Here is a 24,108-nt window from a genome sequence, read left to right as displayed (position 1 = left end):
ACTCGGGAGGCTGAGGCAGGAGAATGGCATGAACCTGGAAGGCAGAGCTTACAGTGAGCCAAGATCACACCACTGCACTCCAGCCTGGGCGACAGACCAAGACTCTGTCTCAAAAAAAAAAAAAAAAAAAAAAGTATGTGTGTGTGTGTATATATATATATGTGTGTGTGTATATATATGTGTGTGTATATATATGTGTGTGTGTGTATATATATATGTGTGTGTATATATATATATGTAACAAATATGCAAAGGCAAATTGACACCCAAAACAGTGGAATAATTAACATAACATTTTTGGGAATGAGTAAGTGAAGCAGGTAAGAATATTTTAATATTATAATTAACAAACTTGATATAGCAGCCATATATCGTTTAGTAAGGAAAAATTATTTCTTTATAGAATGTATTATACATTATTGTTGAATAAGTATAAAAAATTTTGTAAATGGATGGAATCTTAACAAATTTTACGGAATTGTCATGATGGAAACTATATTCTTAACTGTAATCAATAATGAATATATAATTTTTAAAAGCTCATGCATGTGTCAGTTAAAGACACAAGAGGAAATAAAATAGATGTAAGTGATAAAAAGTTTGGAAAAGAAACAAACCTGGCAGATATTGTAGATAATATGATTGCCTACATAGAAAATCCAAAATAATATAAAGAAATATCAGGAAAAATGAGAGTTCAGTAAGTTTGCTGAATTTATGGTCAGTCAGTATTGAGGAATTACTTGAATTTCTATAAAATCATAAAATACCATTACACACCTAGAAAAATTTTATTTGCAATATTAACAAAAATGTAAAGTTCTGTGGAATAACTGCAGTACTTTTATGGAAAAAATTACAAAACTTATTCAAGAGAATTAAGGACAGCCAAATAAATGGATTGACTCACTACTGTCGTGGATAGTATGACTCAGTATCTTAAAGCAGTAGTTCTCAATCGGGGGTGATTTCGACTCTTGGGACATTTGGCATTGTCTGAAGACATTTTTATCATCACAGAGAGAGGAAGGTTGTTTATATTAGTGTCTATTAATTAGAAATCAGGGTGCTGCTGAGCATCCTACAGTGCACAGGACAGCCCCCCCCATGACAAAAAAAAATTAGCCCAAAATATCAGTAACGCTGCTGTTGAGATACCCTCTTTTAAAGTTGACATTCTCCTCAAATTAGTCTGTAATTTTAACAAAATTCCAAAAAATGCCAAGTGTTTTTACTTGTGTGGATTGCAGCAACCTGGTTTTAAAATTCATATGGAAATTAAGGATGAAAGGATAAGCAAGATAATTTTTAAGATGAAAAATAAAGTGAAGAAACTAGTTCTGTTAGCTGTCAAAACATACTGTATTGCTGTAGTAATTAATGCAGGTTGAACTGGCCAGAAGATAGGCAATTAAACAGAAACTGAGAATCTAGAAATTTTTTAAGTGGGTTAGATGTGGATCATAATGATTTTATTATTGCTGACCTACTCCCCCAAAATAATCATTAACAGTTGGGCTGGGCGCGGTGGCTCACACTTGTTATCCCAGCACTTTGCGAGGCCAAGGCGGGCGGATCATGAAGTCAGAAGTTCGAGACCAGCCTGACCAACATGGTGAAACCCCGTCTATACTAAAAATACAAAAATTAGCTGAGCGTAGTGGCGCACGCATGTAATCCCAGCTACTCTGGAGGCTGAGGCAGGAGAATCGCTTGAATCCTGAGGGTGGAGGTTGCGGTGAGCAGAGATCACACCATTGCACTCCAGCCTGGGCGACAAGAGTGAGACTCTGTCTCGAAAAAAAAAAAAAAAAAAGTTAAAAAGTTGACTCAACATTTCTCCCTTTTAGCTTTCTTTGCAACCTCCCAAACTTATGGCTCTACTTTGCCTTAAATAAAGTTCCCTGGCAAATAATAAGTAGTAGCTTTTAGAAGTTTTCACACTTCCTAGGAAAGTACAATTTCCAGAACCGTAGGAATTTCTAATAAATAAAAATTTTAGTAAAATATAAAATAAAAGCAAAAAGTCTTTGAAAGTTCTCTTACTGAATTTTTAATACTGCTCCAAGAGATTATGGTACCTATGAAAGCACTATTTCCAAGTGTAGACTATAGTATAAGCTTTAGAAAATAATAGGGAGAAAAGAAAAATGAGATGTCCCTATTAATTAGGAAGTTTTGAGGAAGTCTGATAACTATTACAAATCCTGAGTATTCTATTTTGATTTCCAAAGGTTGGGAATCTGCCTGTAACAATAAGAAACTGGTGAAAAACACTGGCTATCTTTATGCTCAGAATGAAAACACCAGACTTTCCAAAACAATGAAAAAACAAGACTTTACTATAGTATCTGCCCTAATTAAACTGAAATGTGGATTTCATTTACACATTCTCAATATTTTGCACAGTCAGTATTGAAAATGGAATGAAACTTGGAGCTCCCGTGAAATAGATCTTTTAAAATACAAGCATCCTCCATAAATAATTAAATTGCATTTTCTCTACTAGACTATCTTGCTAAAATGATGATCACAGAAGTGGAAATGGTAATTTTTAATGGCTACCACATTAATAAAAAATTTCCTAGACCTACCTCATTCAGCAGGAGACATATTTCTAGCTTGTCTACCATCAATCCACTCTAAAGCTGAATGGTGATGCCTTTAGATAATCCATATTCTGTTCTTTGCATTAAAATGAATAACAGAATCTTAACTAGGTAAAGCAACAGGGTTTTAGTCTGAATTTTAGAAATAAGCTTTCTTTACCATTAAGTGTATTTTTTCAGGGAATAATCTTAAATAATATAGCCATTTTATTTTAGTTTTATATTTTCCAGTTTGAAAGTTTGATACCTAAAGTCTTTTATAAAAGAAGTTGATTAATGGGTACAAAAGTCGAGTTAAGTAAAAGAAATTCTAGTATTTGATAGAACTAGAGAAATTATAGTTAACAGTAATTTATTGGATATTTCAAAATAGCCAGAAGAGAATTGTAATGTTCCCACCACAGAGGATAACTGCTCAAAGTGATGGATATCCCAATTACCCTGATTTGATCATTATGCATTGTATTCTAGTATCAAAATAGCACATGTGCCCCCAGTATATGTACAACTCTGACATGCCAGTTTAATTTTTTTTAATTCAGAAAGCCTTATTCTGAAAATACATAAGTGTTGCAATGATGAAATATCAATTATTGTGATCTTTTGCCACAAATGCATACAAAAGAAGGTTTGAGAACTGGGCAATTTAAAACATACAGTATTTACTAGATACTGTGGAGTTTCTAACCGTAACTGGACTAAGAGTGTTTTGTCTGTAAATCAGAATATACATGCAGTTGAGACATATATGTAATAAAATATAACCAAAAGTATATAAATATAAGCATTTTATTATATATGCATATATGCAATATTATTGGCCAAATATTTATTACATATACAGTTACATACACATATATAATAAAATACTTTTGCAGCAGAGTAGACAAATGCCTTTATTTTGGCCAGAGACAAAATTAGTGGCATAGCTAAGACCAGGACCCCAGGTTCCCCTAGGGGATCCTCCAGGTCTCTTTGTATTGGACCCAGACGTGTGCATTTATTTTCCCAGTCACATAATTAATACTCATGGTATTCAACAGGCTGTGTGCTTTCAGAAGGCAGAGACTAAAATATATTTTTTACTCTGTGTCCTCAATTCCCAGGACAATGTCTGTTCGACAAAAGGTGAGCGCTGAGTGTTTGGGGTTTTTTGTTTGTTTTTTGTATTTTTTGAGACAGGGTCTCACTTTGCCACCCAGGCTGGAGTGCAGTGGTGCACACATGGCTCACTACAGCCTCTACCTCCCAGGCTCAAGGTATCCTCCCACCTCAGCCTCCCATGTAGCTGCTACAGGTGTGCACCATCACACCCAGCTAATTTTTGTATTTTTTGTAGAGACGGGGCCTCACTATGTTGCCCAGGCTGGTTTCGAACTCCAGAGCTCAAGCAATCTGCCCACCCCAGTCTTCTAAAGTGTTGGGATTACAGGCATGAGCCACTGTGCCCGGCCTGTGTTTGTTGCCTGAACTACTGGGAGCAGTGTTTCACAGACCACTTTCACACTCATTAGTCTATGTATTACTTATAAGGGTGTAGTATGTATTTGGTTTTGAATCTGTGGGACTCATTTTGCATTTACAAAGTTAACAAGGAAAGAAATACCCAGTAATCATAAAACGACTTTAAAAAATAATGATAAATTAATATTCTGCAAAATGAATATCTAAATCCAGTGTTACTATTTTTATTTGTAATGAATAATCACTTAGATATTATTCTAAGACAATTTTAGAAGGGAAGTTACCTTCTTGATTTTTCCCCTTCTCTGTAATCATTTAGATCAGGAATTGGCAAACGGGTCAGGAATTGATAACCTCTTGCTTTGGGTGAAATCCAGACCACTAGTCTATTTTTGCATGGCAGTGAGCTAAGAATGTTTTCTTTACATTTTTAAAAGGTTGAAAAATAAAAAGAATATTTCATGTCATATAAAACTTGTATGAAATTCAGATTTCATATCCATAAATTTTTATTGCAACCCAGCCATGCCTGTGTCTGTGGCTGCTTTCACACTTGGTGGCAGAGTTAAGTAGTTGCTGTGAGAAGCTGCATGGCCTGCATAGCTTACTGTATGGTCCTTTACACAAAATGTTTGCCCATCCCTGATTTAGATTCATGGTAGTCTCTGTGCTCTCAAAATATTGAAAATGTTAAGTATTCTGTTAAGCTCTATGATGTTGGTTTCAAATTGAGATAAGAGATCAGAGTTAATTTTGCCCGTATGTTAATCAGAATAATTTTAATGGTTTCGGTTGTTGTTCTTTAGGACTAGTGACACAATAGTCCTTTCCCAAAAGGAGCACCTCCCAGTCACTCAGATTGTGATGACAGACGCAGGCCAACCACATTCCGAAGCAGATTATACACTGGGGCCACTGCTCTGCCGCGGAGATAGTAAGTAGTGTCAAGAAAAAGCTTTATTTTCATAATAACTTTTTTTGGTTATAAAGGGGTAGACAAATGCCCTTGTTCTTGCCAGAAAGAGAATAGTGGCAGTACTAGGACTGGGGTGAATATCAGGAAAACACACATACCATAAAGGCACAGTCAGTACTGAAGATCTGTGTTTCCTTACTGAAGCATTAGTTTATAGAAAATGAATCATCTTTGTTTTAACTTATTACTTGCTTGGCTGGATTTATTATCAATTGATTGTATTTTTTCCAGAACAATCATGAGATGAACTATTTTCTGAATGCTAAGGGATATTTATTCATTGCCCTTATACTCTTCAGACAACTATAGTGGTAGGAAATTATTGGACACTCTCTATTTTCTGACCTCTGTACATACTGTTTTACATTACATGGCACCGAATGTGTATTAATCTCTTTCCTGCAGCATTTTCGTTCATGGGTGGCTTTCATGGTCAAGTCCTCGCTCCCCCACCTCAGTGGCACTATAAGCCCAGGGTTCTTAGAGGATCTACCTACTGGGTAGCACGGGAACCACAACTAAGCTAGTAAAAATCTTCTTTCCCTGAGAAAAATTGTAATAGTGTTTCTTACCCACTAGCATCATACATTGCCGTGGAGAAGTCTGAGACTAAATGTATTTTTATTTCCTGTTCTACCTCAATGTGTGGAGGCTACTTCTGAGAGGGATGGTTCAACAAGGAGCCTGAGCCTCTCTGTACATTCTTGCCGAGTGTGCCAGATGGTGTGGTGTCTCCATCCCCTAATACCAAGCAGTTTCTGTAGCCAATCGTGTAGGCAGCTAAGTAGTTCAAAGAGAACACAACATCACTATCGACGCGTACTCACTCCCCAGAGAGGGCGGGGACCGGCTTGTCTCCTGCTTGATGAAGGAGTCCCGGACCCTTGTCTGGGGGCTCCTCATCTGAGATGCAAACCTACCCACTGTGTGTGTAGCATCCACCTGGGCCAATGGATTGTGTTGCCCTGTGAAATTTGGAGATAAGGGGAACCAATGCAAATATTCTGACACTCATGCTGCATGCTGTGCTGTGAGCAATAAAGTTCTTTAACTCTGACCCGGAAATTTTGTGTTTTCTATCAGCATCCATTAATCTGTGGCAAGCTAAATTGTTAGCTTGCAAGTAGGGTGAAATCTCAGACTCTTCACAGCTCTTGACAGATATGTTATCCTTCAATTTCAAAAACTTATCCAGAATATGCCTTAGCGTTAATTATTCTGTTAATTTTTTCTAAAATGAAATATGCTTATTTTGACCGAAATATTCTGTTCTCTTTTAAGAAAAAATGGTTTTTATTATGCTTTGAATACTTTGTTTCATTTGTTGGATTCTCTGCATCTAGGACTGTTGACTTGTTTCCTTTGCCCCCCATACATTTTTTCTGTTTCTTCCAATGGCTTTAATCTCTTTGTCCTTCTCCTATGCATTCAATATGATTATTCTAAGCTTTTCCCAATGTCAGTAATTTGTTATCAGCTGTGTTCTCCATTTCCAGATATTTCCGATTTCTCTGTTACCTCTGTGATTTTGTTTGGGTCTTTGATTTTTTTTTCCTTAAAAATCATCTTTTCTGTTTATCTCATATTTTAGCTCTTATTTTACTGAATTGGTTTTTATATTATTCCCATAGTGTGAAACTCTTATGAAATTTTTCTTTCCTTGTGTTCTCTCTTAATTTCCTTCCTCCATCCCATTCAGATGGCTCCTTCCTTCCTTCCTCCCTCCCTCCCTCCCTCTTTCTCTCCCTCCCTTCCTCCCTCCCATTCAGTCTGGCTTTTATACTCCTTCCTTCCTTCCTTCCTTCCTTCCTTCCTTCCTTCCCCACTCCCTCCCTCCCTCTCTTCTTTCTTTCTCTCTCTTTCTTTTCTTTCTTTTTCTTTCTTTCTTTCCTGTCTTCTTTTTTTCTTTCTCAGTATGTTTGCACTGTTTCTGTGCTTTTTGAAACATTGTTTATACTTGTAGTGTAAGTCTACACTACAGGTCTGTCTGGCAGGTCTGTCCAGACATTTAATTCATTTATATGGAATGGAGTTGAATTCTTCTCGACATTCATCTCTTCACAATCAGACACATACTTCTTGTCCCTTCTGAACTGCAATAGCAGGACTAGAGTTGGTCATCCTATCAATATTTTTTCCCATAATCTAAGAGCTCAAGGGAGGGATCTGTTGAATTGTATCTGATTTACTGGCCATTCTCTGTGCTGTTTTATCTTCAAGAATTATTAAATGTCCTGTGCCAGGCATCACACTGAAGCATGGAGGGTATATCTGCAGGCTTCAGATGCCTCCCACAGTTCAGTAATAACCCCTGGAAATTTGTAGCCTTTTCCCCTGCCTATTGATACTCTGACATCAAACACTGGTTTCTAGGTACTCTGTACTTCTCAGAAACATTTTCTAGATTATTTTCTCTCTGGAAATTTACCTCAGCCCTTCATTTCTCTCCAAATGTGGCTGTATTTGTGAGACTCTTCAGGATATGTCATTCACCTTCAGTTTATATCTTACTTTCAGCAAGACTTCTGAAAGTATGGAGAAGAGAAAGTGTGATATTTGAAATATTCCCTTCTCTTTTTGGGAGACTGAGATGGGAGGATGGCTTGAGCCTAGGAGTTCAACACAAGCCCGGACAAGATGGTAAGACCTTGTCTCTTACAAAAAAACTAAAAATTAGCTGGGCATGGTGGCCTGTAGTCCCAGCAACTAGGAAGGCTTAGGTGAGATGATCTCTTGAGCCCAGGAATGTGAGGTGGCAGTGAACTATGATCATGCCACTGCACTCCAGCCTGGGTGACAAAGTGAGACCTCATCTCTAAAATAAATAAATAAATTGATTAATGAAGAAAGAAAGAAAAATAAAATATTATCTTCTGTAAAACTTGTAGCTTCCTCTTCGTTTCTCTTTTCCTTTCCTTCATCTCTGTTTTCTTTAACATAACACTTATTGATTCTTTTCCCTTCTTTTGGGGCAGCTGGGACTAGGGGATCTGCAGGGATAGGGTCAAGGAATGACCACTGGGTTAGAAGCTTGGTTCCACACTGGGGAATGAGCAAATCTGTAAATACAGTAAGGAGAGTAGGAGTGACCTCACTGAGGAAAGAGTTATACATGTGGGAAGGAGGAAGACTGTAATGAACCCTGTGGTGCTGGGTTAAAAACGGAGGTATCCACATGAACTCATGGATTTTAATATACATAATAGATAACTGTAGAATACACATAGAAGAGAGAGACTGCGTGTGTGTATGTGTGTGTGTGAGAGAGAGAGAGAGATACAAATACACATATTTCCTAGCTGACTACTGAGAGGGCTAGAAGCAATGACACCCTAGTAAATAGCCTGCAGATCTGGGCTTCTAAACACCATTTTCTGTCATTCTCTGCTAAAAAAGAAACCACGACTCCTTGAAGAAATGGCTGATTCCAGAAATGTGGCAGAGAAAATTTAAGATGAGCCTGGATCATTTTGTCATGACAAAGGGGAAAAAAAAAGCTGAAAAAGGCATGGGTGTCAGCTTAAAGGAGCTGCCACATTTGAGACAACTTAAGCATCAAAATAAGTTATAGAGTATAAACCATTGAATAGAATACAAATTCAAGAGTGACGTGAATAAACAAATGCATAAATACACAAATAAATTAGTAAAAGATCAAGAGAAAAGCTATTTCTTGGTTTGTTTATTTGTTTGTTTTTGAGATGGAGTCTCGCTCTGTTGCGCAGGCTGGAGTGCAGTGGCACGATCTCGGCTCACTGCAAGCTCCGCCTCCCGGGTTCACGTCATTCTCCTGCCTCAGCCTCCCGACTAGCTGGGACTACAGGCACCCACCACCATGCCTGGCTAATTTTTTGTATTTTTAGTAGAGACGGGGTTTCACCGTGTTAGCCAGGATGGTCTGGATCTCCTGACCTCATGATCCGTCCGCCTTGGCCTCCCAAACTGCTGGGATTACAGGCGTGAGCCACTGCACCTAGCCGAGAAAAGCTATTTCTGACGGAGGCATGTCAACCAATTAATGTGGAAGGAATGACAGAGCTTAGAAAATCACCATTGGCAGCCATCAGAATAAAAATTCAATCAGGAGCCATCAATATATTGTAAAACCATTGGATGAAAAAATTTTAAACTGGGTAAAGTTGTGTTTCTGTAACCTTAAAGTGTCAAAAATACATGAAAAAAGAGAAAAATAATAACTTCATGTTGGAGAAACTGGACAAATGCCACTTTACAAGGCACTTGAAACTAACAGGACCAGTGATGGGCTGATCAGCATTGCTGCCTGCTGCTGCGACACACTGAGGAGAACACAGCAGCCCTTCTGTGGTATTTTTGACAAAAATGCACAACATGAATCCAATCATGAGTATGTCAGACAAATCCAAGTTGAGGAACATTCTGCAAGTCAACTGAAAAATACCAAAAAGTCAAAAGTACACAGAAGATAAGAAAAGACTCACACACTGTACCAGAATAAAGGACACTAAAGAGGCCTGAGTAATACATGTGATGTGCAGTCCTGTGATGGGTTTTGGACAGAAGGGAACAAATAAGCTTCTTCTTGTTCTTGATTGTTCTTGCCATGAAAGGAATTAAGACAGTGTGTGTGTGTGTGTGTGTGTGTGTGTGTGTGTGTGTGTGTGTGTGTGTGCAGGAAGGAAAGCAAGAGTCTGTGTTCTGGCTTCTGGAGTCATTTATCCAACTACCTCCTTCAAATCTCCACTTGGATGCCTAATAGATATCTCAAATGAAGCATGTCCCAAACTGAGCTGCTGCTCGAACCTGCTTCTTTAGAATTATTTCCCTTCCTAGTTAGACCAAAAACCCCAAAGTCACCTCAGACTCCACCCTTCTTCTCACATCTTACCGAGTTCTTCAGTAAGTTCTGTTGGTCGTATCTTTGAGGTGATTCTGAACTTGACCCTGTCCCTACTGTGTTGCTGCGCGATCCCCTGACTGGTCTCATTGCTTTTGCTTCGCTTTTGTTTGGCCTTCTCTGAACACAGAATTCCAATCCTCAGCGTAATCACTATTTAGCTCTTGATGTCATCAGTATATGACATGGATGCTCAGAACCCCCAGTGAAAGCTCATATACATTCTATTAATGTATTTAGCAGTCATAATCCTGTAAGTATCAAATGTAGCTGTTATTTTTGTTTCATGACTTTTTTTCCTTTTGTCGTTTTCTCTATTGTAAACAGAGTCATTCTGGAATTCAGCTTCCTTCAACACTGAGACTTCATACCTTCATTTCCCTGCTTTCCACGGAGAACTCACTGCTGACGTGTGCTTCTTTTTTAAGACCACAGTTTCCTCCGGGGTGTTTATGGAGAACCTGGGGATCACAGACTTCATCAGGATTGAGCTGCGGGGTAAGCTGGCCACTCTGGACAAGTCACAGGATACCCATTATTTAGCAATAAAAGCTTTAACTCAACAAAATGGTAGTATTTCATTCTTACTTTGTGATTCTATTTCATTATAAAACACTAAACTTCTATGATTTTAGGTAATTTTTTGTTTTTGAGAGAGGGAGAGAGCATTTTGCTGTGTCACTCATGCTGGAGTGCAGTGGCATTATCTCGGCTCACTGCAACCTCAGCCTCCTGGGTTCAAGCAATTCTCCTGCCTCAGTCTCCTGAGTAGCTGGGACTATAGGCACGCACCACCATGCCCAGCTAATTTTTGTATTTTTAGTAGAGGTGGGGTTTTGCCATGTTGACCAGGCTGGTCTTCAACTCCTGGCCTCAAGTGATCCGCCTGCCTCGGGTTCCCAAAGTGCTGGGATTACAGGTGTGAACTGCCACACCCAGCCAGTAATCATTTTTAAGAGAAAATAAAACAATGAAGCACGTAATAATCCATTAAAATGTCATGCCTTTCCTAGAGTACTGAACAGCAGAGCCAGAGCTTTAAACCAAACTCATCACATTGTTTACTGAATTCCAAAAATATTTGACCAGACATATTGTTTTTTATGTACCCAAAGCTTAATTTATGACTGTCAAAATTTACATTCAGTGTTTATAGAATTAGATGAGACTTTGAGCCGTTTGTAAATAAAATTACTGAAACCTCAAAAACAAATACTATTTGGTATTCTAGCTATGGGTACATAGCTATGGGTAGTCCAGCTATGGGTACATATCTCTACTATTTAGGACTTAACAAGGTTGAATTGTGAACTCTGAGGATAAATATGTTAAAATCCGTTCTGTTTTCCTCCAGGATACAGATTTATTCTGCCCCCACCCCAACTCACAGTCTTGTTTTTCTGCATCGCCGTCATTATCTCCTTCCATCCTGAGCGTGCCTTCATGTTTTCCTGTGTCTGCACAAGACTCAATTTTCTGTGAATTTGCTTGAGCAATATTCATATCTAATATTTCTAGCTCCCACAGAAGTGACCTTTTCCTTCGATGTGGGGAATGGACCTTGTGAGGTCACGGTGCAGTCACCCACTCCCTTTAATGACAATCAGTGGCACCACGTGAGGGCAGAGAGAAATGTTAAAGGAGCGTCTCTTCAAGTTGATCAGCTTCCTCAGAAGATGCAGCCTGCCCCTGCTGATGGGCACGTTCGTTTACAGCTCAACAGCCAGCTCTTCATTGGTGAGTGCTGGTGGTTTATAACTGAATTTAGTGTGAGTCCAGAGAGGGACCAAAAGAAATTAAGAACTGTGATGTACTGAGAGCAACAGTTGCCAACAACTACTGCTTATTGGTACTATTTGCTGATAACCTGGTAGGTTCCAGGAGCTTGCTGTGTGCTTCTTATTTGACATTTCTTTTGTTTGTTTGTTTGTTTTTGTTTTTGTTTTCAGACAGAGTCTCACTGTGTCGCCCAGGCTGGAGTGCAGTGGTGCAATCTCAGCCCACTGAAACCTCCACCTGCCGGGTTCAAGCGATTCTCCTGCCTCAGCCTCCTGAGTAGCTGGGATTACAGGCGCAGGTGCCACCACGCCTGGCTAATTTTTGTATTTTTAATAGAGACACGGTTTTACCATGTTGGCCAGGATGGTCGTGATCTCTTGACCTGATGATCCACCCACCTCAGCCTCTCAAAGTGCTGGGATTACAGGCGCGAGCCACCGGGCCCTGCAGTATCTCAGTGTTTAGGTATCAATGTTTAGGTATTGTCATCTGTTTACAGATGAGATAGCCAAGCCTCAGAGAAGTGGAGTAACCAGCTAATGAGAGGGATCCCAGGATAGCCAACCCCCAAACTTGAACCATTCACAATGCAGAGGATTGGCATATGTGACAGCTATATTTTATCAACACTATTAGTGAGATCATTAGACATTTTTATCCATTCCTTCAGTTTCACTTCTCGGTGGAGTTAGAGAGCTTGTAATTGGGACAGAAGTCCTCCAGGGTCCACTCAAAACCAGATCGCAGGATACCCGCTGATTGGAAGCAGCACTGCGCACCTCCCCCGCGGCCAGGCTTCCAGGAGCCCACTCCCGGTTTTCCTCGCTGCTGTTCTCACTTCTGGGGCTCTCTCATCACAGGCTCCTTGTTTATAACCCGGTCTGGCTCATCTGTTCTTGCACTCCATTTATTTAAAGGTGATAGCTCTGGAAGTCTTTCCTTTAGTTTGCTTACTTACTGTTTTATCACTGTTGTTTATTTTTCCATATTGCTTTTGAAACTATTCTAACGTAGGAGCTACACAGATTAAAGCTCTCACTTGTTCATTCTTAAGTGTTTTAAAGCGAATAAGGATGCAATCTAATTAAAACTGGACTAAATCACAAATTATCATCCAACCTAATTTACAGGGGAGGGTAGATACAACTTCCAGGTACTAAATGTTACACATGAACCCATGTATGTATGTGGATGTGGATGGGGTGTTATACCATGACTTCCTAAAACCTAGCTTCAGGCGTGGTTAGCTCTTCTATTAAGTTGCAGTGAGGCTTTTTCAAAGGACATGAAACCATCAAACTACTGGAAAGGAGGACTACACGGAGGGGTCAAACCAAGAACTTGATTTTCTCACTTGTAATCTTGGAGATTATTTAAGGGAATGCCTAGAAACACAATTAGCATAAAATTCACCTAGAATCAGCATTCATTGCGGTGGATGAAGCACTGGCTTCAGAATCACCCACAAAGCTGATTGATAGTTCAGATTTGGGGCCCCCACCTTAGGCCACCGAATTGGAATCTCTGGGAGGAGGCTAAAAACTGCATTTTTCCAGAAACTCTAGGTAATTTCCATGCTCCTAACATTGAGAATTGTCGCCTTCGTAATGGTGTTTGTCACTACACAGGTGTTGTAAACCTCTCTAAATGGTTTCTTCAGCATTCAAGTTTGACATGACAAAATGTGCATGCATGCAGTATTCAATTACTGTTTAGCACTGTACCCTCTGAGAGGAGGAGATCCTGGGGTATGGTGTCACCCCTTCCAACTTCCCCTCCTTTGCTTATCCATTTCCTTTCACACTTTATTTTTAGAGTCCATCCAAGTAACAAATTTATCCATATATATTTTTATTATTGTGAAAAATTTGGAAGTTCATACCTAACCATTATAATGCACATTCTTATTCATAAAGAAATTAAAATAATGTTTGATGAATGCACATTCTTATTCCTAAACAAAGTAAAATAGTGTTTGATGTGATTTATATTATGTATTTTGTTCTTTGTAAAGGAACTAAAGTGAAATTCTTTCTTACCTGAAGTTAAGGAAATGTTTTTAGAAGGACTATTTGCCAGACTCACCATGTTTGAAAGTTATGTAAATAAATGTTTTATTCAATGTCATTTAAAGCTGCATATCTCATAACAGTTATATTTTCAAAATTGTATATGTTCACAAAATTTTTTGACACATTGTGATTATTGCCACTCTCCATAAGGCCTGAGTTTGACATGGACATAAAATCCTGAATAAAATACCAAGGAACACATTTCTATTTGCAGTGTTTCCGTTGTAGGTGGAACGGCCACCAGACAGAGAGGCTTTCTAGGATGCATTCGGTCTCTGCAGTTGAACGGGGTGGCCCTGGATCTTGAAGAAAGAGCCACAGTGATGCCAGGAGTGGAGCCAGGGTGTGCAGGACACTGCAGCACCTATGGACACTTGTGTCGCAATGGAGGGAGATGCAGAGAGAAACGCAGGGGGGTCACCTGTGACTGTGCCTTCTCAGCCTATGATGGACCGTTCTGCTCCAATGGTAAGTGTGACCAAGGAGCAGGTTATAGGGAAAGTACATGAAACTTAAATAGTATGAAGAATGCTTCTGGCATTTGATATTATAAAGAGAGGATAAGATTGAATTATTTGAAATGGAATAATTTCTGTACCAAATTCCTCTATTGAATTTAGAAGGGATATGACTGTTTTTGAAAACTTAAGGCTATCAGTCCTCTCTGGGTTTCTTATTTAGAAGATCTCTGGGTTACCCCAGCATCTGTTCAATGCTAATCCTCTTGAAATAATTTGGTTTTCAAAACTCTGTCCTTGTACTGTTCTAATTTTAACATCAGTAAAGCATCATTCTTATTTTTGTTTTTAATTTTTAGAGACAACGTATTGCTATTCAAGCCTCTCTGTTGCCCAGGCCGGACTTGAACTCCTAGGCTTGAGCAATCGTCTTACCCATTGTCCCTTGTGACAGTGACTTTAAGTGATTCAAAAGGCCTTTATAGAAATGTCTTTTCTTATAAAACAAACATACTAACTAGAAGGGGAAAAGAATACTTAAATATTGACAGTCATTAACAGGATCACTCAAACACTTTGCTCTATGATGTTTGACTCTTCTTAGAGGAGTGCAGTGGGGTATCACACAGCTTCTGCTCAGGTACAATCATGTTTTCAAAAGAAAAGGGCTGGGCGTGGTGGCTCATGCCTGTAATCCCAGCACTTTGGGAGGCCAAGGCAGGCGGATCACGAGGTCAGGAATTCAAGACCAGCCTGGCCAACATGGTGAAACCTCATCTTTACTAAAAATACAAAAATTAGCAGGGCATCCCAGCTACTCGGGAGGCTGAGGCAGGAGAATTGCTTGAACCCGGGAGGCAGAGGTTGCAGTGAGTCGAGATCGCACCACTGCACTCACTCCTGGGCGACAGAGTGAGACTCCGTCTTGGGGGAAAAAAAAAAGAAAAGGAAAAAGGGACTGATTTTAGTATTAAGTACTCTGTACTGACTTATTTAATATATTTGTAATACTTTTATGAAACCTCTTACAATATTGATTCATCAGAGCTAAAATGTAATTGTGTGTTTAAGTGTCTCTGGGCTGTTACACTTACTATTTTTAGCAGCAAAACAGGCTTTAATCACTATAAATTGTGTGACTTTCAAAAGAATTTTGAGGATTCATTATCTAGAAGTCATTTAAATTTTCAGAAGGTCTTGCATATGTCTTTTATTAGTCCTGAAGATCTCTGTGCTCACAAATCTCATAGCTCTGGTGCAAATACAGAGCTCTTTTTATATCTCAAGCCAACATCAGGAGTAACCACTCCTTCATGAGCACAAGTGCTGATTTCTAAATCATTCCCAATCCACATTTGCTAAGTGCAATTTGAATGTTATTTTATAACCCAAAATTTTCTTAAGGATAGACATTATATGGTAAGTAAATGGAAAATGGTCCTCCAGTGGCTGGGGCATATGTTATAGTTAGATTACCTAATCTAATAAGAATGATCTGGATTTTCAGTAAATTCTTTATATTTTATGGAAATGGAAAGAGTGGAGTAGTATTCCAAGACAGTGATCATCACCCAACATTTTCTTTTTATTTACAGATACATTTGGGGTGTGTGTGTATGTGTATGTGTGTACTAAACACATTTTTGGAATTAACTTGATATAAAATTAAAATATCAACCTTTCATAAAGTGTTTTAAGAGAAGCTGAAAGACCTTCAACTTTTCTCTCTCAGAATACTGTAGATACCACTTTGGATTAGCCTTTCTATCCAGACAGTAAATTTGAGAAACATCTTTGGCATAAAAGAACATTTCTAAATTCTGACCTTGAAGGAGGGTTGGTCTTCAAATCACCTTTTCTCTAGTTACTTCAGGAGCTCTGTTTCATGCTTCCTACAAAGCAAATCGATTTTTAAAGAGGAGGTAACATTCAAATAAAAAACCTGGTACTCTGGCATTTCCAGGCTGGCCACATAAGGAGCTCTGTAAACCCTCTCTCATACGAAACAGGCATAACTAGTAAAAATTATTATTTTAAAAAACAACTATTGAAAGTCTTTAGAAAATGTCCTAAGGAAATACATCCAATGGAGAAACATTTATTAATCAGTAATAACAGTGAGAGTTTGAGGCATTTAAGCCAAGACCCTCTCCCTGCACCTCCCCATCCCTAGCTCAGTATGACGGAAGCTCCACTCTATATGGATATAGCCAAGAAGCCAAAGGTTTCCTCTCTACCCAGGTCCTACTACAGAGATACTGCATTACCCCAAGATTGGGTGCCAGCATTTCTTGTCATCCCCAGTTTTGTAGGACAGAAGCTCTGTCCACGCAGAAACAGCTGAGAAGTCTGGGGTTTCCTTCCTACACCAACTCCTCATTCCAGGACATAAGGTCTTCAGGTGTGGCAGCTGGAAAAATCCTGTGTCCCAATTGCCCTCACTCCAGCTTACTTGTAAGGAACAGTTTCTCCACCAGGAGAGGCAAGGCAAGAAGTTACCTTTCCCACCCTGTGCCCTACTTGTAAGCAGAGGTTTTACTACAAAGGAGCAGGCCACTCTCACTCTCCACAGCTTCAGAGCAGTGAGGCACATTTAACCAAGAGGTAGAGGGAGGCCATGAAAATACACAGCTTGGTAGCCCTCCCCAAGTGAACTGATTTCTATTTGGAACAGAGCATGGATAAGTTTAAGCTAGTGGTATGAAGATATTGGCAGTAAGCAATTAAGAGAATGTTGATAACTCCAAGAGAGTAATGAGTTAAGCCAGGGAAGTTTAACAGAGAAAAGAAAAAAGAATCAGCAAACTTGAAGCAAGATCAGTAGAGATTATGTATCCTGAAGAATACAGAGAAATAATAATGAAAAAAATAAACAGATCATCAGAGAAATATCAGACATAACTAAGCACACCAACATATACGTAATTGAAAACACCAGGAGAGAGAGAAAGGATCAGAAAAAAATATTTGAAAAATAATGGTTGAAAACATTCCCAAATTAATAAAAATCATTAATCTAAGATACAGAAGCTCAGTGAAATACAGATGACACAAAGAAGTTTATATCCAGACACATCTTATTAAAAACTTTGAAAGCCAAAGTCAAGAAGGAAATTTTAAAAGCAGTAAGAGAAAAATCATATATACAAGGAAACGCCAGGATCAACAGCTAACTTCTAATCTGAAAGAATGGAGGCCAAAGGACAGTGAGATAACATATTCAAAGAGATGAAAGAAAACCATTGTCATGAAGAAACTTACACCCAGCACAACCATCTTTCATGTTCAGTAGCACAGGATGACTATAGTTAACAATAATTTATTGTATATTTCAAAATAACTAGAAGAGTGGAACTGGAATGTTCCTAACAAAAAGAAATGATAAATGTTTAAGGTGATGGATATCTCAGTTACCCTGATTTGATCATTACACATTGTTTGGTTGTATCAAAATATTACCTCTACCCCATAAATACATACAACTATTAGGTATTCATAAAAACTAAAAATTATAAAAGATAGTAAATATATCCCTACTTACAAAAAGCAGAGAATTCACTGCTATTAGCCTGCATTAGAGGAAATAACAAAGAATGTTCCTTCAGGTTGAAGGGACATAACCCAGACAATAATCTGAATCTACACACAAAAAACAAATAGCACTAATAAAAGTAAGTGTGCAGGTAATTATAAAAGAAAGTATAATGTCATATTTCTTACCCTTTTCAGTGCTTAACTATTTTAAAAAGCAATGTATAAAACTATAATAGAGAATATACAAATATATAATGTATATATTTTCATTGTTGGGCCTATAGAAATATATTACAAAAAAACAGCACAGAGGAGACAGATGGCAGCAAGGCTGTACTGAAATAAGGAATAACACCAAATGGTAACATGAGTCAGAGGAACAAAGAAAGAGAACTAGAAATGGTAAATAAGAGAGTTTATAGACAAAGTCTATAAATATTTATTTGATCTTTTTTCTTTTCTCAGATTTTTTAAAAAGAGAACAAATTATATAAACTAATAATGGGTTTGGTATGCATAAAAATAGTTCCAAAAGAGAAGAAATAGAGCTATGTAGAAATAACTTTTCTAAATCTCACTTGTATTAAGTTAGTGTAAACCTGAAGCAGATTATTGATAAGATATATATAATGCAAGCTTAGAGCAATCACTAAAGAAAATAAAACATTGTCATGAAGTATATTAAAAGGCCTATATACCAAAAACTAGTAGGATTTATCCCAGGATTTCAGGAGTGGTTCAACAAATGAAAATCAGTCAACATATTACACAAGATTAATAGAATGAGAGGGGAAAAAAAACATGATTATCTTAATTGTTGCTGAAAAAAAAAACATTTAACAAACTCCAGTAACCTTTCATGATTGAAAAACAAAAACACTCAATAAACTAGGAATAGAAGGGAACTTTCTCAATATGATAAAGGCCATATATGAAAAACCTGCAACTAACATCATACTCAATGGTGAAAGCTTCTTCCGTAAAATAAGAAACACAACAAGTATGCCCAGTTTTACCACCTCTATTTATCATAGTACTGGAAGTTCCAGCTAAAGTCATTAAGCAAGAAGAAGAAATAAAAGGCATCCAAATTTCAATAGAAAGGCTATCTCTCTCTCAGATTACCTTATCTTATATGTAGAAAACTCTTCAGAAAATAAAAGCTGTTAAGAGAAAATAAATAAATTCAGCAAAGTTGCAGGATACAAAATTAACACCAAAAATTTGGTTGTATTTCTCTACACTAGCAATGAAAAATCTGAAAGTGAGATTAAGGAAACAATTCCATTTGCAATATCATCAAAAAGAATAAAAAACTTAGAAATAAACTTAACTGAGAAAGTGAAAGACTTAGACATTGAAAACTATAAAACGTTGTTGAAAGAGATTAAAGAAAGAACTAAATAGATGGAAAGACATTCCATATTCATGAATTGGAAAACTTGAGATTATTAAAATGACAATACAACCCCAGCAGATTCAATCTAATTCTTATCAGAATCCCCAAAGCACTTTTTATACAAATGAAAAAGCCCCTATCAATATTTAAATAAAATTTGAAAAAGCCCAGAATAAGCAAAACAATTTTACAAAAGAACAAAGTTGGAGGATTCACCCTTCTTGACTTCAAAACTTACTATAAACTACATTATTCAAAACAATGTGGTACTGAATGAGGATAAACCTATAAATCAATGGAATAGAGCTGAGAGGCCAGAAATAAACCTACATACATACAGTCAATTGATGTTTAACATAGTCTTTGTCAAGATCATTCAGTAGGGAAGTAACAGTCTATTCAACATAAAGGTAGGAAAAGTGGATGTTCACATGCAAAGATTGAAGTTAGACCCTTACCAAAATTAACTCAAAATGAATCAAAGTTTTAAATCTAAAAGCTAAAACTATAAAATTTTTAGAAGATATATAGGCAGATCTTCATGATCTTGGATTTGGCAGTGGTTTTTTAAAAATCACCCCAAAAGCACGGGCAACAACAACAACAAAAATAGATTATTTGGACTTTATAAAATTTAACAACTTCTGTGTATCAAAGAACACTATCAAGAGAGTAAAAAGACAATCCACAGAATGTGATAAAATATTTGCAAATTATGTATCTGATGGAGGTTCACTATCTAGAATATGTTAATAATTTCCACAACTTAACAACAAAAAGTCTAATTGGACAAAGGACTTGATGAGACATTTCTCCAAAAAGATATACAAAGAGTCAATAATCACATGGAAAGATGATACTCGACATCATTAGTTATTAAAGAAATGCAAACGAAAAGTATAATGAGCTGCCTCTTCAAACCTACTAGATTGACTATAAAAATAAATAAATAAATAAATAAAAACAGAAAATAACAAGTTTTGGCAAGAACCTAGAGAAATTGGAACTCTCTTTTGTTACTGGTGGGAAAGTAAATGCCACAGCCACTGTAGAAATTGATTTAGAGTTAACTCAAAATAGTTAAACATAGAATTACCTTCGAACCCAGCAATTCCACTTCTACATATATAACCAAAACAATTGAAAACAAGAACTCAAGCAGATACTTGTATACAAATGTTCATAGTAGCACTAATCACAATAGTGGAAATAATACAAGTGTCCGTCAACACATGAATTGATTAAAAAATGTAGTGTATACATATAATGGTATATTGTTCAGCCATTAAAAGGAATGAGGTTCTGATACATGATACAACATTAATTAACATAGAAGACATTATGCTAAGTGAAATAAGCCAGACCCAAGAGGGCAGATATTATATAACTTCATGTTTACTAGATATCAATAGACAAATTTGTAGAGACAAAGTAGATTCAAGGATACCAGCAGCTGAGATGAGGGGGCAATGGAGAGTTATTGCTTAATGAATACAGTTTAATTTTGGGATGATGAAAAATTTTGGATATCAAAAGAGGTGATAATTGCACAACATTGTGAATTTAATTAATGCTACTGAATTTCATATTTTAAATGGTTAAGTGGCAAATTATATATTATATATATTTTACCCCAAAGTATAGTGAAATCAAGAAAGAAATTAAAATGTTACACTCCAAAATATCCACCAACACAAAATAATAAGTCAGAAGGAAAGTGACAAGAAAACAAATGAAACACATAGAAAAAGAAAAAGAAAATGGCAGATGTAAATCTAACTGTATCAATAATAATATTAAATGTTCATCGATTGAGCAATCCAATCAAAAGACAAATATTGTCAGAATGGATAACAAAAGAAATCTTAACTATATGCTGTCTAAGGACATACAATTTAGATTGAAAGGGGTAATTTAGTTGAAAATAAAAGAAGGGAAAACATGTACCATGCAAAGAGTAACCCTAGAGAGCCAAAGGGACTATACTAATACCAGAAAAAATAAACTCTAAAACAAAAGGTGCTACTAGAAATAGGGAAACTTATATAATGATAAAAAGTTAATTCCCTCAAAAAGATATAACAATTACAAACTTATATGCAGTTAATAATATAGCCCCAAATTGCATAAAGAATACCTGACAGAACTGAAAAGAGAAATAGAAAAACCAGGAATAAAACCTGGAGGATTCAATACTTCACTTTCAATAAAGGATAGAATAATTACTCAGAAGATTACCAAGAAAATAGAGTTGAAAAAAATAAAAACGCAATCATTCTAACACACATCTGTAGAACACACCACTTAACAATAGCAGAATGTATATTCTTCTCAAGTGTTCATGGAACATATTCTAGGTTAGACAACATGCTACCTGTAAATCAAGCCTCAACACATTTAAAAGGATTGAAATCATATGAAGGGTCTTTTTAAAACACAATGAGATGAAATTAATAACATAAAGAAATTGTGGAATATCACAAATATGTGGAAATTAAACTATACACTCCGAAATCAAAAGGGAAATTAGAAAAGGTTTTGAGATAAATGAAAGCAAAAATACAACATTACTAAAACATATAGTAACACAGCTAAAGCAGGGTTTAGAGGGAATTTTAAAGCTGTAAACATCAATATTTAAAAAGAAAAATGGTTCCCAAATAAAAAACCTGACCTGCCACCTTAAGACACTGAAAAAAGAAGAGCAAACTAAATCTAATGTAAGGAGAAACAGGAAATAATAAATAAAACAGGAGAAATTTCTCAAATGGATAATATAAAAGTGACAGAAAAAATTAACCAAACCAAAAGTCAGTCCTTTAAAATTGTTAACAAAATTGGCAAACCTTTAGTACAACTGACCAAGAATAAAAGAGATGATTCAAATTACTAGAATGACATATGAAAGAGTGATATTACTACCAACCTTACAGAAATAACATGGATTGCAAGAGAATATAAACAACTGTATGTTGAAAAAAATTACATAACTTAGATAAAATGGACGAATTCCTAGGATGACACTAACTACAAAATTAACACAAACTACTACTTCTGTTTCAAGAAGGAGGAGAAAATATAAATTGGCCTATAACAATAAAAGGAATGCCTTAATAATATTAAAATACCACAGAAAGTAAAGCCCAGGTCCAGATGGTTTCAAACAATTGATGCTATCAACTATCAGAATATATCAACTATTTAAAAATATATCAACTATTTAAATAAGAAGTATTAATTCTTCAAAACTCTTCCAAAAAATAAAAGAGAAAGGAGCATTTTTCAACTTATTCTGTAAGGTCAGTATTTCCCTAATACCAAAGCCAGACATAGATATACCAGTATATATATTTTAAATCTACAGACCAATATCATTTAAGTAGATAGATGTGAAAACCCTGAACAGAGTATTACCAAAGCAAATCCAGTCACATATAAAAATGACTATACATCAAGACAAAGTGGAAATGATCCCAGAAATGGAAAGTTGTTTTAACAGCTGAAAATCAATTAATATAATATACTATATCTTAGAATAAAGGACAGAAACACATGATAGGCTCTACTGATGCAGAAAAGTCATTTGATAAAATCCAACATCCTTTCATGAATTTTTGTTTAAATTCAGTAAACTAATTATAGACGATAACTTCCTCAGTCTAACAAATGGTATTTTTGAAAAACTCATAGCTAAAATTATATTTAATTTTAAAGACTGAATTTTTTTTCCTAAGATCAAGAATGAGACAAGAATGTATACTCTCACTAGTTCTATTCAGCATTGTACTAGAGGTTCAGGCCAGACTGATTAGGCAAGAAAATGAAAAAAAAAAAAAAAGAAGAAAAACATCCAAATTAGAAAGGAAATAAAACTATCTCTATTTGAGGATGACATGATTTTTTATATAAAAAAATCCCAAAGAATCTACTTAGAACAATTAAAACTAAAACCAAGTTCAACAAAATTGCAGAATGCAAAAACAATATACAAAATCAATTGTATTTCTACAAATTAGCTGTGAACCATCTGAAAATAAAACCAATAAAACAATTTTATTTACAGTAGCATCAAAAAGAATAACATACATAGCAATACATTTAACAAAAGAAATGGAAAACACACTGAAAACTATAAAGCATTGAAAGAATTTAAAGGTAAATAAATGGAGAGATATTTCATGTCATGGATTGAATAATTAATATAAATAAAATACCAGTGTTCTCTAAAGTAATATACAGATTCAGTACAGTTTCAATCAATATCCCAGCTGGCTTCTTTCCTGAAATTGACAAGCTGATTTCATATGAAAATTTAAATGATGCAGAATAGCCAAAACAATCTTTAAGAAGAAGAAATTTGATAGATTCACACTGCCCAATTTCTAAACTTAATGTAAAGCAGTATATAACTGGCCTAAGACTAAACAGATAGCTCATTGGGATAAAATTGAAAGTCCAGATAGATACCTCGCCATTTATGGTCAATGGATTTTACAAGAGTGCCAGGACAACCCAATGGGAAGAAGTAGTCTCTGAGACTACTGAGTATACATGCACATGCAAATGAATGAAATTAGACCTCTATCTCACACATACATAAAAATGTACCAAATAGACCTCAATGTAAGAACTAAAACTATAAAACTGTTAAAACATGGGAGAACAAAAGAGAAGATAACCCACAGAATGGAAGAAATTATTGCAAATCATGTCTCTTATAAGGGTCTAGTATTCAAATTATTTAAAGAGCTTTTACAACTGAATAAGATGCCGTGTGTGGTGGCTCACACCTGTAATCCCAGCATTTTGGGAGGCCGAGGTGGGCAGATCACGAGGTCAGGAGTTCGAGACCATCCTGGCTAACACAGTGAAACCCCATCTCTACTAAAAATACAAAAAATTAGCCGGGCGTGGTGGCGGGCGCCTGTAGTCCCAGCTACT

At 36.5% G+C, this 24,108-nt stretch overlaps 1 pseudogene; it reads left to right on the top strand.

Moving 5' to 3' along the window:
• The window catches only part of LOC101930090 (contactin associated protein family member 3B pseudogene), a 50,205-nt pseudogene extending 35,961 nt beyond the window's left edge, over window positions 1–14,244 (top strand).

The sequence above is a fragment of the Homo sapiens genome, chromosome 9 (genome assembly GCF_000001405.40).
Source record: "Homo sapiens chromosome 9, GRCh38.p14 Primary Assembly".
NCBI lineage: Eukaryota > Metazoa > Chordata > Mammalia > Primates > Hominidae > Homo > Homo sapiens.
This window is presented reverse-complemented; position numbering and strand designations above follow the sequence as displayed.